At 40.2% G+C, this 14,090-nt stretch overlaps 1 protein-coding gene across 1 annotated transcript in view, besides 3 other annotated features; it reads left to right on the plus strand.

The window, feature by feature from the left end:
• The window catches only part of TFAP2D (transcription factor AP-2 delta), a 59,508-nt gene that overhangs the window by 6,896 nt on the left and 38,522 nt on the right, over positions 1-14,090 (plus strand). The window contains exons 4-5 of the mRNA NM_172238.4: positions 8,435-8,600; positions 8,773-8,891. Of these exons, the coding sequence (NP_758438.2) occupies positions 8,435-8,600; positions 8,773-8,891 (285 nt within the window). The remainder of the gene's footprint in view (positions 1-8,434; positions 8,601-8,772; positions 8,892-14,090) is intronic.
• Positions 255-549: a silencer, noted in NCBI's record as "tiled region #1859; HepG2 Repressive non-DNase unmatched - State 10:DNaseD, and K562 Repressive non-DNase unmatched - State 10:DNaseD". NCBI's record gives its function as "represses a minimal TATA promoter and a strong SV40 promoter by Sharpr-MPRA in HepG2 and K562 cells {active_cell/tissue: HepG2 | K562}" and the evidence as "EXISTENCE:reporter gene assay evidence [ECO:0000049][PMID:27701403]".
• Positions 3,292-3,984: an enhancer, noted in NCBI's record as "NANOG-H3K4me1 hESC enhancer chr6:50691426-50692118 (GRCh37/hg19 assembly coordinates)". NCBI's record gives its function as "activates a minimal SCP1, AML or CMV promoter by ChIP-STARR-seq in naive H9 embryonic stem cells {active_cell/tissue: H9 hESC(naive)}" and the evidence as "EXISTENCE:reporter gene assay evidence [ECO:0000049][PMID:30033119]".
• Positions 3,985-4,675: an enhancer, noted in NCBI's record as "H3K4me1 hESC enhancer chr6:50692119-50692809 (GRCh37/hg19 assembly coordinates)". NCBI's record gives its function as "activates a minimal SCP1, AML or CMV promoter by ChIP-STARR-seq in naive H9 embryonic stem cells {active_cell/tissue: H9 hESC(naive)}" and the evidence as "EXISTENCE:reporter gene assay evidence [ECO:0000049][PMID:30033119]".

Consider the following 14,090-nt stretch of genomic DNA (forward strand, 5'->3'; position numbering starts at 1 on the left):
TGGTAGTTTACATTAAATTTAAAAGAGCTGCTCAACACTTCTTGTTTCACCCTATGGAGATTAAAACACACACACACACACACACACACACACACACACACACACACACACACACACATATACGTGGTATAACTCCACAAAGATTTTTTAAATGAGGAATATTAAGCTTGCCAGCCACGCTGGTACTCAGACCTATTGAAATGGAATAAAATAGGCCCAAGACTGATGAATATTGAATGCACTGTGTTGGAGGAGGCAAAAAAGATTTACACAGTGAACAGGGGACCAGGTGAGATGTGCTGATCAGGGGTCTGTTGGGACGGGTAAAAATAAGGTGAGGCAAGAACACTCAGGGCGCTTAGAGACTTCGGTGGTGCTGAAGGACAGCGCCACTAATTAGGGACGGGAGCCCGCTTCTCCCACAGCCGGCCTCTTGCTACTGCAATTTTGCATTCGCTTTCACACTTGACCAAGATCACCTTCTGAAATGCTTGGAAACTGCATCTGAGCGTAAGATACCTGACAGAGGGTGGAATTACTTGAGGCCGAGGAGGGAGTTAGAGAGGAAGAGGCTTTGGAATCAATTGAATTTCTGGGGAGAGATTTAAGGGACACCCTCTCACCCCCTCACTCAATTCCCAAGAAAGGCCAAAGCTCTTAGGTATCTCCAAAATGTTAGCTACCTTATCAGAGCCACAGAAATTATCTTCCTTAGGTGATGCTTTATTATTCCTGTAGAATTCGGTCCCTATTCGTTTCAACTAAAAATCATCGTCGAATCTGCTACTTGAAACCAAATATTGATGTCATATGAGACTAGTGAAGCTCCAGAGAGAAAGGGAATGTAATTTGGGGTTTACGTCTGTCTTGTTTGACTAAACCCCTCTTCATAGGAATTCAGATTTTAGCTGCTGAGTTTATTCCATTTCCACGTGTCTTAGAGAAAGGCCAGTTAACCTAGTTGAGCCTTGGAGAGGAGGGTGTGTGTCTATACGTGTCTGTTTATTCTGAAACAATCAATGTTCATGTCAATTTACAAGTGGATAGCAGGGAAGTGTATTCCCAAAAGAGGGCGTATATTTTGCTGCAGCCTGCCCAGCCCCTCATCTCAGAACTTCCTTTTACAAAACCCTAAAGAAGCCTATTTTCTCAATTGTCATGGTAGTACACAGGACCCCTAATATCAACAGCTCAGACTACTTGTGTTCACCAAAAATCAGGAAGACATTAACTCAAGTGCTGCTATACTGCTATACTTCATATAACCCGATACTGTCTAAAAGCTAAGAATGTCTGTTTCTTTTCCAGCTCATGCTTGACCCACCACATGAAACATGATTTATTGCAAAGCACAATTTTTCACCATTTTCTCTTTTCTGCTAAGTTCCCGGATTAATTTACATTTCTAATGGTTTCTAGAATGTACTATGGGAGGGAAAAAAATAGATTCCACTTCCAAAGACCCCAAATGATGTTCTTGAAGAAATATGGGTGACTATGTACTTTACATGAGTTAATCAGGGACATTGTCCTGGTTTGCAGTGGCGTGGAGGGCTTGGGCATTCTCAGTTGTTCTTCACATTTGGTGACTTCAACTTGTAAAGAACAAAATAGCGTCGCCCTGACTCATTTTGTTAAGTGGCAATTACATTATTTTAGCCTGTAATGAAGGCCCGATAGCCAAAGAATGCGTGAAAGAGGGGGCAGCAGCTAGGTAATTACCACCTAGATAAAATATTTGCCACTGCCTCGGAGGCGCAGCTCCCTGCGTGCTGACTCTCGGTTAATGGTGTACGCGATTTTGCCCGCAGCTCCGGCTCTCCAACCATCAGAACCAATAATCTTTACTTTACCCTGTGCTCGCGTATCGATAGCTTCTTTCGCCTCGGGCGTAGGCTTTGATATGTTAATATTACTGAGTAGCAAATTCTGCAGAGATCATATTAATGTTGTACGTACAGAGTGGAGCTTTGCCTTCGTTGAATATTCAGATATCGGGTTTCAAAAGGCATCTCTTGAAGAAATGAGGCTTCTATTTACAGGAGTCGTCTGTGTTTTTAATCATTAAAAAAAGAAAGAAAATCTCACTCTTTTTTTCCCCCCTGAATCTTCTGAGGCTCCCTTATGGCCGCCTCCCCTTTGCCAGACACCGGTCCCTTTCATTTCCTGCTCTGAGTATTTAATAATAAGTGAACAATGTTGATGACGATGGTGATGATGAAGCTCATAATAAATGGATCCATATTGGAATCGCAGGGTGGGGGTACAAGTGGGTAGTGGGCTGTGGACCTCAGAAGTGGGCTAGATGAGAAGACCTAGCTTTTCCTTACATGGGTGGAAAGTGACATTTTGGCCCTGGTCTGTTTTGTGAAATCGAGATGGCAACTAAAAAGGGGGGGGCGGGGGATGGGAGAGGAAAAAATGAAAAAAGTGAAGAGGGGAAGCGCCCTTGTTTCGCTTTGTGATCATTCTGCCTTGCAGCCCCAGGCTAATTTCAGAAGCTTAAACACTGCGGTAGCCTCTGGGCCACGCGAAGAGGGAGCGGACCCGGCCATGGGCAGGCAGGAGCGCTTTCCTGATTGCCCGTGGCTACACAAAATACAAACTACTTTGAATCAAAACATTTTGGAGGAATTAATATGATCTGAACTCTGCACGTTTTAAGAGAGTTTGAGTTTGTCAGAGCGCTTAGAGGTGACTGGCACGCCAAGGCAAAGGCATTTACGCCGCGGTACAAACATTGTCAGATCTGATTTAATTTCTTTAAAAAAAAAATTCCTTGAAATGGAACCTTAGCTTCAATTGCTCAGTCTGCCCATAACAGAGTAGAAGGACCTGATCGCTTTTCCCTTTAGCCGGCCTCAAGGCCGGCAGCAGGCTGCTTGGCAGGAGGAAGCGATTTCCTCTGCTTCTCTGGGTTTCAGGAAGGCCCAGAGCCTTGGAATCCGGGATGGAGAAAGCCGTGGATTCTTTCAGCAGCTCCTGAAGGAGTACAATTGGAGGAGCGTGGGAAGCCTTGCTCTTCTTCCTTTGTCAGTACTCTTCGGATTCCAGATGGATTACCTGGAATCACTACTCTCGCTAGCCAAAACTCATCTCTATGGTTCATCCATTATGGGTGAAGATAGAGCCAGAGATACACCTCAAGCCTCGCCTGCCTCCTTAGTCCCCAGTGCAGATTCTGCAGGTTTGAAATTCAATCTCCTTTATATGAAATCTAAAACTCTTGTACCAAAGCATCCAGAAGCATGATTTGTTGGAAATCTTTGTGGGCGTTGGGGGTTGTAGAGGGAAAGAGGTAGCTTTCCCACAGCCTACAGCCTTTTCTCTAATTTCTTTAACTGCTTTGAAAATCAGCAGAAACCAAAACACTTTTTGCACTGGGGAATGGGGATTAATCTCCCCCCAACCCCCGCCATACACACACCCTAATATACACCATTACACACCTACCGCCACATTAAACCAGCGAGTCTCTTCACGCACACCTCTCTTTTGTTCTGCCTGGAATCTACAAAAGGAGAAGCTCATTCGGCCCTGGTAATCCAGCTATACCTGTAATGTTATACCCTCCCCCCAAACAATTCGCTCCTTACACATCATCAAAGGCCTACTTGATTCCAATTAAGTCCGCATCCTTTGCTGTTTGATTACAATTAATATCTGCTGCCGTGGGGGGAGAGGTAACATGGGGGGAGGGGTAACATGGGGGAGGAGGGTTAGGAAGGGTGAGAGGCTAGAGAGGAAGCAGCAGAGAATAATTCTCCCCACCCAACTCACAGGCGCACCTCGCAGAAATGCAACCGCAGAACAAACAGGGACAGGAAACTCTTGTAATCGCTTACACATTTTTAATGTGTCAGAAAAAAAAGAGCGATCACTGGAGATGAAGAAGGGGAGAAGAAAAATCCCTGCCGTTTGTATTTCTTTCATTTGAATTGTAAACATCTGTTTGGCTGTAAGGCGAACAGATCATTTATTTTGCTCTCAAGATTTGGTCTAATTATGTCAACACCGACGCTACGACGAGTGGGGCGGCGCTGTGGCTTTGGAGAGGATGCGCGCACCGGCCCAGCGCCCGGAAGCCCGCTAGGAAGTATTGATCGCACCTGGAGAGCGCGCGGGACCTCTCGCCACAGCTGGGTGCGTTCTGAGACGGGGGAGGCGCGGAGGCCGTGAGTATGGCTCAGAGGCAGATTTAGAGGCTCCAGGGACCCGCGGCTCCTTGGAGACAGCCGCCGCTGTTTCCTCTGCCCCAGTAGCCTGGGATGAGAAGAGAAAAAGCTCACCCAGGCTCCGGCGCTTGTCTTTCCCATCCAGTTGCAGCACAGACGGTGGCGGGGTGTGTGTGTGTGTGTGTCGGCGGGGGGACCTGTCTTGTCCTACCCCGCAGTTCACACCCTGCAACGGGGTAGTTGTTTTTTTAAAAAAAAGTGGCGGGGTTGGGTGGCCTATAATCAGGTTGCCGAGCGTGCGTGCATCCATTTCCCATTGCACCTCCTTACAAGGTGGGGAGATAAGTAGAGCAAGTGTGAGCATCTTCATTGTTTAGATGGACAGACTAGACCCAGAGTCATTCGCCCAAAGTTGCGTGAGTCGATAGTTGGTCAAATTCTTACTTGTAGCCCGGTACTCTTTCCACTGCCCCACACTGTCTGCAGACACTGGCCAGATGTCCCCTGTTATGCCAAGGCAGCCAAGGTAAAGCCACCCCATGCTTCTTCAAACCGAATAAGATCTAACAAGATATGGCAGCTGGAGGATCTGCATCCATGTATTTTGTGCTAGTTTTGTCACACCTGAGCCAGAAGTCTCTGGCTGACTTCTTCCTGTAGCTATGGCAAAGTTATCCCTTTTAATGAAAGCCATGTCCTAGGCAAAGGACCTTGAGCAGATAGTTTCTGATTTCTTACCACTGTTACCATAGCTACCCATCAGAATTTGCAGCATCACTGAAAATAGAGAGCCCTATCTCCAAATTCCAAATTTAAAAATAGTGAACTTTGTGAAAGTATTGCTTCTGTGAACTGTATATGGAAAAGGGATGAACTCTGGAGAAGTTCTGCATGAATACACTGGCTATAGAATCAAAGACATTCTTAATTGTGATGCTGAATCTAGAATGATTATCACATAATTTCAATATGAGCTGACATGCAACACAAGCACCATGAGGAAGTTCAAGTAGTAACACTGGGGATGACTACTGTAAATGGCTTGGTGTGGGCCAACGTTTCATAACATTCTTCTTTGAGATCTCATCATTACCATCTGTAGTCTGGATTATCTTAAAGAAGTATCACTCCCTCAGCACCTTCAATCTAAAGGCAAAACCCTGGTGATATTGACCTACTACTTTTTTCCACCTCTCTAAAGAATAAATCACCAAGAAGAAAGATATCAGGTTCCCCAAGTTGCTGTAAACTCTACAAGTTGCCAAATCTTTAGCCAGGACTAGAGAGTTCCCCAAGGTTGCAGCAATGCCAGGTATCAAAGCAACAGAAATTCCCTTTAAAGATGCTGTGACATAAAAAATAAAAGACTCTAGAGTTGATGGCTAATCCTGAATACAAAATAAATCCTTCAGGCAATTTGTGTGTGCATAAAGCATACTCTTAATATGCAGCTTGTGTAACTTACCTAATAAATGTCTACTTGAGCATAAGCCAGAAGCCCAACCTAGATGTAGGAGAGGGAGACTCTGGGCCCAGGGAGTTAGCACGTGGGTAGATAGCAGACTCAGTGGCTTCCCTGGGAGCAGCTGGCTTTCAACACATAAGGTTCACTTTGCCAAAAGTCTTCCAGTTGGGGAGAGCCTGATCTAACAACTTCTTTTAAAAATGATAATCATCTACATCTCCCTAAATTAGGTTTCTAATCCACTGAAGATTAGTAAAGATAAGAAAGTTCTAAAATTGTGGTATTCCCTACCCTTAGCATCCAGGAAAATAATTCATACATATACTCAAACGCTCTGTTCTCTCACTTATCATAAACTTGAAGCTAACTGGCAACTGTGTGAGATTCCTTGTGTCCTCATTTGTATACTGGCTAGTATGCAAGAGAGGAAAGTTTATGTCAGAATATCAATTTGCTTATGATTTATAGTGACTGTGAGTAGAGATCCATTTTTAGAAGAGGGCTATGTGAATTTTGCATAAAGACATTGATTTCTCTTTGTTTAATATATTTGGGGTAGACTTATCTAATTCCTAAAATAATCAGGATCAAAATTCTCACAGTATGACTCTACACCACAGATTCATTAATACCTACCTTGCTTTCCTGTTCATCTAAAATTTTAAGAAGTCATTTAAGATTTTTTTTTGAAATGCATTTTGCATCTCTAAGTACAGAGTGAAACCGATAACAAAAGTGAAATGGTAGTCTTAGGTCCAGGAATCTGGGGGAACATTTTTATTGTTGTATTTTGGCTTAAAACTCGGTGAGAATATGAAGAGGGGGAAGTACAGGAGAATTTGTTTTTAGCTCCTAAAGCAGGTGTTTACATGGTTTGCCATTGTATTGGCTACAAGTTTGATGTCAAGAAATGGATTTTAATTTGACGATTGAGATTTTGAACTCTCAGATTTCTAACTGCGAACAGGTTTTCAGACACTGTCATGGAGGTTTTGGCAGAGTGCACAGGACCTAACTTCTAGCCTGAAGATGGTTGGCTACCCTGACATTCCCACTGATTACTCTTCTGGTTTTTGTTGGTTTGTTGTTTTTTGGAGGGACTTTAGAATGCTTAGGGAGAAAGATCTTGGTCTCCAGCACTTGCAAGGAAAACTTGGGTGACCAAAAGACAGTCAGGAAGAATTCCAGAAGGTACAGGGGTAGAAATGTTTTAAGAGTGGGGCAAGGTTAACTTTTTCTGTCTCCTCAGGTTTGGGATCCCTTTGCCTTTTTAAATGTCCTCCCAGGTTCTTTTGCAACCCAGCCCAGGGAAAATACCAGAATCTGAATGCCAGAATTTCTACCACCGGTATAATATTCCATATGTGCTAGTTAAGGGTAGGAGATACCTGGGAGGCAAGTGGTAAGTCCTAGTTCAGTGCTTCTCAAACTTTAATGACCATGTGAATCATCTGAGGCTCTCATTAAAATGCAGATTCTGACTCAAAAAGTTTGGAGGTGGGTCTGAGATTTTATGCTTCTAACAAGTTACAAAGTAAAAATATTTTAGACAACACTCTTCTGCCCATTTTTCTTCTCCCATCTACTTTTTTAAAACCTCTTTTCTCTCATAGAACTTGTCCCTTTTCTGGATATGGGTTGTAAGATTGACCCTAGCTGAAGAAACAAAATACATGATCAAAAAAGCCAACTTTGAATTTGCCTCGGACCCTTAAAAACTCTGCCTTTAGATTGCTCAATGCATTAGGCGGTTTTGGATCCCGGAACTGTATAGTCACCATGCTAGCAGGGTGGACATTGGCTCCAAAGTCTTGCAGTGGGGGAGGAATTGGACAGTGGGAAATGCTTCTCAGAGATGATCACCTTTGGATCGTCAAGTCCTCTTCAGTTATTGTCGACTGCCTGAGGATAGGGAACATACACTGTTGTTCCTGGAGGAGATTGAAGCTCAGGGGGCTTTCTGGAGCTTGGAGACAGAAAGCTTCTGTTCCAGGAACCCCAGCATGGCAATATTGCCTTGGTGATTTTGCTACTGACAATTATCTTTGTTTTGCTCCCTAATAGTAATAATGACAATGACATTTACAATTTACATTTACAATGACAATTATAAAAACAATATTATTGTCAGCTAACATTTAATAAGTATTATGATTACTATGTTCTGGGTCTTGTGCTGATATTGAGGGCTGGCATACAATAGAGGTATTTAACCTATCATCACCTGTATGGATTAGAAATTTCTTTCAATGAGTAACTGGTTTTTAGCAGTGCCTGGGATTGAGTGACTGTTTTGCCTTTAATTGGCAGATGGATGAGGAAAAGATGGCAGTTTTCAAACACTTTGGAAAAGACAGTAATTGTGGATAAAACATTTCCATCCATTGTGTACATTGTGCATCTGTGTGTGTACATAAACATACAACCATGTATAAGTAATACCTAGTCTTTGTGAGCTTAACTATTGGAATTCAGGTTTTTGATTAATTGAAGTGTTTCTTAGTGTGGATGTTGCCAAAATTAGCACTGGTGAGTCAGTCTACACTCCGTAGGATGCCAATGTTTCTAACAATTGTACACTCACAGACATTTTCACAAACATTGAAAAGACATGACCCTGAGTAGTATTTGAAAGAACATTTAGAGCAGCTCCCTGCGATGATCTGGGGGATATATAAGTACAACTGTTAGCATGTATTCCCAAATCCAGAATAGTCTTTTGATGTTAACTGCCTCTCATGCAGTTAGCTTCTTTCACTGTCACTAACATGTTATATACTTTTTTTCTCCCAAGGTGGCACCTGTGTGGTCAACCCCACAGACTTATTTTGCTCTGTCCCTGGCCGTTTGTCCCTTCTTAGTTCTACTTCCAAATACAAGGTGACCATTGCTGAGGTAAAGAGGCGCCTCTCCCCACCTGAGTGCCTCAATGCTTCACTCTTGGGAGGCATTTTGAGAAGGTAAGACAAAGCTATATTCTGGCACAGAATTTCTGCTAACTGATACCATACCCTCAACCCTTAGTCATGATGTCTTCCATCTGATAGTGTATTCCCCATGTGGTCAAGTCGTCTCATAATTTTCATCAGAATGTGAAATTTCAAAACCTAGTTTTTGTTTGTTTTTGTACAGAGCAAAATCAAAGAATGGGGGCCGCTGCCTGAGAGAGAAATTGGATAGGCTTGGCTTAAACTTACCAGCAGGAAGACGGAAAGCAGCTAATGTCACCCTCCTTACTTCCTTGGTTGAAGGTATGACTTTTCAGTTTAGCAAAATAATGCTGGAAGGTTGGCGTGTCTTTGAAACTCAGGTTTCTTAAATTATGCTGTTTTATTTTTGTCTGTACCATTAAGCAAGTCAGTTAACAGTTAAGGTAAATTTCCTAAATTATCTTGACAATGATGATTAAATTAGACTTAAGATTTAGATAATTCATAAAATATCATTTAATTTACTAATCTTGGTAGTAATAGGAAATAAGACAATGGAGGTTTTGGGTACTTCTCCAAATAGCCTCTAAATAACAGCAACATGAAATTGGCAGCGCTCTTGTCATTTGCATTATTGTTTATTTCAGAGTTTAAGTGAATCTAACTTAACCCATTGTAATTCAGTACAACATGATCTACAGGAGAAATAACCCTTTATGAAGAGTTCACAGGGGTCTAGGCATGATACTGAGCCTGAAAGCATATTGTATTAATCCTAGTAGACCTCTCTAAAGACATGGTGAACTTTCAAGGCTGTATGGGTGGATAAGCTCAGCTCAGTCAGAGAGAGGTTAAGGTTAACCAGTAGTATAGAAAGAGAAATGGAAATGAATATATTCCCAGAAGTTGTTTTATTTCCAACTTACCTCTTTCCTTTTTTTCTCCTATTAAGGTCTAAACTTTACATATTCTTATTCAGTCTTCTTTTAAGGAGAGTTATTATTGAAAGGCTTTTTTTTTAACATTGTGGGGAACTTTTTGAATGTCAAAGGAAAGTTTTTTCATCATGTGGAATGCTATTGTTTAAAATATAAAAGGCAGGGGCCTTTTGCCAAGCCTCACCTTGAACACACCTGTGTTACTTCATACATCCATTATTTGTCTATATGGCACTGTAGGAAGTAGTGAATGAAGCACAAAACCAAACATCTATACTTTTTTTCAGATTTTCAATACGTAGCATTTATTGTACAACACTGAGAAGTAGTGTGTTCTTGACATTTGTCTTGGCAGAATTGCTTTGGTGATTTTGCTCTTAACAGCCATCTTTGCTGTGTTCCCTGATAGTAGTCACAATAATAACAACCACAACAATAACACTGACAACTGACATTTACTGTGTTACTATTACCATGTTCTAGGTCTTGTGTTGTGTTTGCCTGCGTGTGCTGGTACTAAAGGCTGGCATATGGTAGATGGCTTTAACCTATCATACACCCACATTGGGGAAGAGCAAAGTAGAAAAAAAAATGACTAATGGATTGATTCCAAAGGGAGACAGATTTCTGCACATTTTAAGTAAAAATGTGGGTTAAAATTATAGTTATCATTGTTTAAAAATATAACAAAACAGTTGCTCAGGATAATAGAGGGGATTCAAGAATCATATGGGTGGTAGGACTCGAGTAGTTCTCAAACCCAACTCCACAGAAGAGTCAATTGAAAAGATTTCTTACAAAGTGCCTAGGTCTCATTCCCAAATCAACTGAAACTCATTCTGGGGTGATGGCTTAGGCATCTAAAGTTTTTAAAGCTCCCCAGGTGATTCTGATGTATAGTGGTGTTTAAATATCATTGATTTAATTGTTCCTTGGAACCCTTTTCACCACCCGGGATGATTGTGTATGAATGCTCATGAAATTTCTAATTGGTGTGAAAATTATCAATCCCAGTAAAGACTTTTCTCCAAGCTGTCTATGAAAGTACTGGTCAGTACTAACGGAAGACCCACAAAAACTATGTTCACAATTCTTACTGATTTTTATGGTAGCCAAGAGCACTGGGATATCCTGCATGGGAATTATCAATCTGTACTAGCTTCAAGGGTGCAGGTCAAATATGTGGAATCCTAGGATGATCTCTGGAGTCTTGCCATCCTACTCTTTCTGCATACCTCTCCTATCCCAAAAGTGCCCGACTTGTATTCTATTCCTGTGGCCTCTGCTCAGAGATAGCTATCAGCCTTGGCTAATGAAACAAGATTTTATCCTTTTGAGGAGCATCTTATCTTAATTGTGTGCTTTTGAAATCCCCAGTATCTTCAGGATGTAGAGAAATAAATCTTTCACTATTGAATTCCAGGCACATTGATGAAACCTTAGAAAACAGATTTAGAGTCAAAGAGATCTTTTGCGCCCTTCCGCTCTTGACATAGTAAGACCCTCAAACCCACTTTCATACACACACACACACACACACACACATTGAAGTTTTAGTACTATGTACAATATTCTCTGACATTTTAATTTGATTCCATATTTTGTTTCTTTTAATGTTCCTTGTAAACCCACTACATTTATTTCACAACTCACTGTCGAGTCATGAGTCATGACCTACAGTTTTAAAAATTACAAGTTATATTGGGGTATGAGGAGAACATAATCTTTGACATACAAGGACATTATATCTACATTGAAATAGGCTTCATTATAACCCTGAGCTGACATGAAGAGTGACTTCATTGTTGATGACTCTCTTTTATATTTTTATCCCCATATTTCAGTTGGGTTGGTGGTAACAGCTGATGACTCCTTTCCAGCCAGCAAGATGCCATGTTCTGAATTAGATCATGGCCCCTGGAACTCTGCAGATGGTATTAGGTGTATACAGAATAATAGTAACCCAACTCTGATTCATCAAACCTCCTGGGACATTGAAATCATTGATGTTTATCAGCATTTTTGGCAACTTGATCCAACATGGGTCTAATGTTTGTTCCATTTCTACAGTTTTACTCCTGTATGAATTTCACCATACTTACTATTTCTTGTTTATAAATTCTTGGATTGACCGTGTTTTTGAGTAATGTTTTCTCCCTCAATCAAATATTTTTGCAAGAGCCAGAAACTTTTTAGACATTTTTATTTTCAAAAATTCAAAAACTAGATTTTTAGTATCTAAAACAGGCCATTGGCTTTCTTATATGGTCTTTCTATGGTCTTGTGGGAAAGAATACGAATATTTCTTTCATCATTTTTAAACTGAAATCTCTCCTTTATCTTCTGGATTTTCTATATTAACTTATATGTGCATTTTAATTACCAACAGTTAGTAACTTAACTTTTCTCAACTATCTCTAGAAACTGTTGCTGAAATTGTTATAGAGTAGTCTAGCTATGACCAGATGAGTAGTTTCTCAAACATCCTAATGGCCCAATACATTACTGGGGTTCAATCATACCCCCACATTTTGGCATAATATTGAGCATAGGAGAAAAAAATATCTAATTGATTGTATTCCTCACAGAGCAGACTTAGAAATAAATCTCATGAAGGTTAAACTTCTACGACTTTGCAGTACTTGACTCTGCCTCTTTGTGGGGAAGATTTGAATACAGCCTTGCCATTGTTGATATTTTCATAGACTACCAATGAAGGAATAGTGTGTGGGGACCCTGGAAGGCTTTCCACACAGAGATGATGTAATCTTTGTGAAGAGCCAATCAATGAACATAAGTGCCTTATGATGGGGATTCAAATTAGCAAATGAACATTTGTTTTTCACAAACAACACTTGTTACTGACATAACAGGTTTCATTAGCATATCCCTAGGTTTCTATGCTTGCCTTTGGTTTTTACTTTTAAAAAATTATTTTAAAAATCATTTTTCCTATATTCCTTTTAAATGGAGTCACTGTATGAATAGCTCCTAGCTTTGTTTTCAAATCCACATATTAGAGCCATTATTCTTAGAAATCATTTTAGGGATGTATAAGATAGGGTTATTTGATGCAAATTTATACTATATTCCAATAATTCACAACTTTTCTGTTACAAATATTATTGTACCTACGAACTAATAGGATGAAGAACTTTAGACTAACTGAATGTTTTTCCACCTGATAAAGTTGTTTGAAAAGTGAACATTTTAGTAAGGCAGATATTTAGACTGGGGATTTTGGGGGGTCTACATAACATAGATTGTTTAATTTTGAATGAGATAGAAATATTTGAATTGAGTCCCACGAAAGCAATACCACATTTAATTTCTTTTTCAACTCATATGTCTTCATCTAAGTGGTTTAAATCTATAGGTAATAATTAGATATAACTCCTTGTATGCTGTTTTATTACAAGTCTCTTCTTTCCATTTTCCTTTGCTAATTACATTGCTCTCATCCATTCTAGTATCTACAATATCAGAAAGATGTCAGTCTCTGAAAAATACAGTGGCTTGGATTTGCTTAACTGATCTTCTTGAAGAGATGTTGGAATAATTTTATACTCTTCTAGAGTGGAAATAATTCTCTTCTAGAGTGGAAACTATTCTCTCTAGAAAACATTCAAGGAATTTGACTAATATCATAATTCTAGTTTTAACACCCTTGTTATATGTTTATTATTCTTGAATTGGCAACTTCTGTGGATGCCTCCTCCATATTTTACTTCAGAAGTATGTTTGCAGAGTTGGTGGTTATTCAAATAAATACAAGGAGTCAATGACCTTGTCCTTCCTGCATATCACTCCCTTCTTATCTAGGAAGTTCCAAGATGAATGACATCGCAGAGTATTACCAGAAGGGAATTCTGTCTGCCTGAGTGGTGTGCTTCCTGGGACAGTTTTGCTGCATTTGCAAAAGCTTGTGTAACCTTCTCAGCCAACACTCAGGGTTCTGAAAGTATAGATTATTTAAGCTCGTAAATATAAATACCTTGAGCTGAAATTTGTTATGATAGAAGATCAAATTCTCTCTCTCTGTCTCTCTTTCTGTGTATGTGTGTGTGTGTGTGTGTGTGTGTGTGTGTGTTTAAACAGTGTGGGACAATGGAGGGTATAAATATGTATCAGCAAAAGAAAGGGAACCAGTTCCAAATATTGTGTATGATCTCCATCAATCTTTCTCAGTTTAAATCCTTAGTAACTGTTGCTCTTGTCTTTCATTTCAAAATATATACTCTCAGACCCTATCTTGGACATCTTAGCTCATGTAAATTAGTTGTTTTGTGCCACTTGCAAAATCTATTAACCCTTTGCCTGGTACTCCTCCCACCACCTCTTACCCTCAGAATAATATCATTTTTGAAGTAGGGCCTGACTTTGGACTGGTTACTTAACCTAGCTGAGCTTCATTTTCCTAATTCATAAATAAAGACCATCATATCTATAATGATGAGGATAATGCCAGCTGTTATAACAGTTCCCAAAATGTCTTTGGCTTAACATAATAGAAGCTAATTTCTCACTCATCGCAGTCTGATGTGAATGTTCATTATCAGGGACTTTTTTATTGTCAGTGTCT

The sequence above is a fragment of the Homo sapiens genome, chromosome 6 (assembly GCF_000001405.40).
Source record: "Homo sapiens chromosome 6, GRCh38.p14 Primary Assembly".
In the NCBI taxonomy this organism is placed as follows: Eukaryota; Metazoa; Chordata; class Mammalia; order Primates; family Hominidae; genus Homo; species Homo sapiens.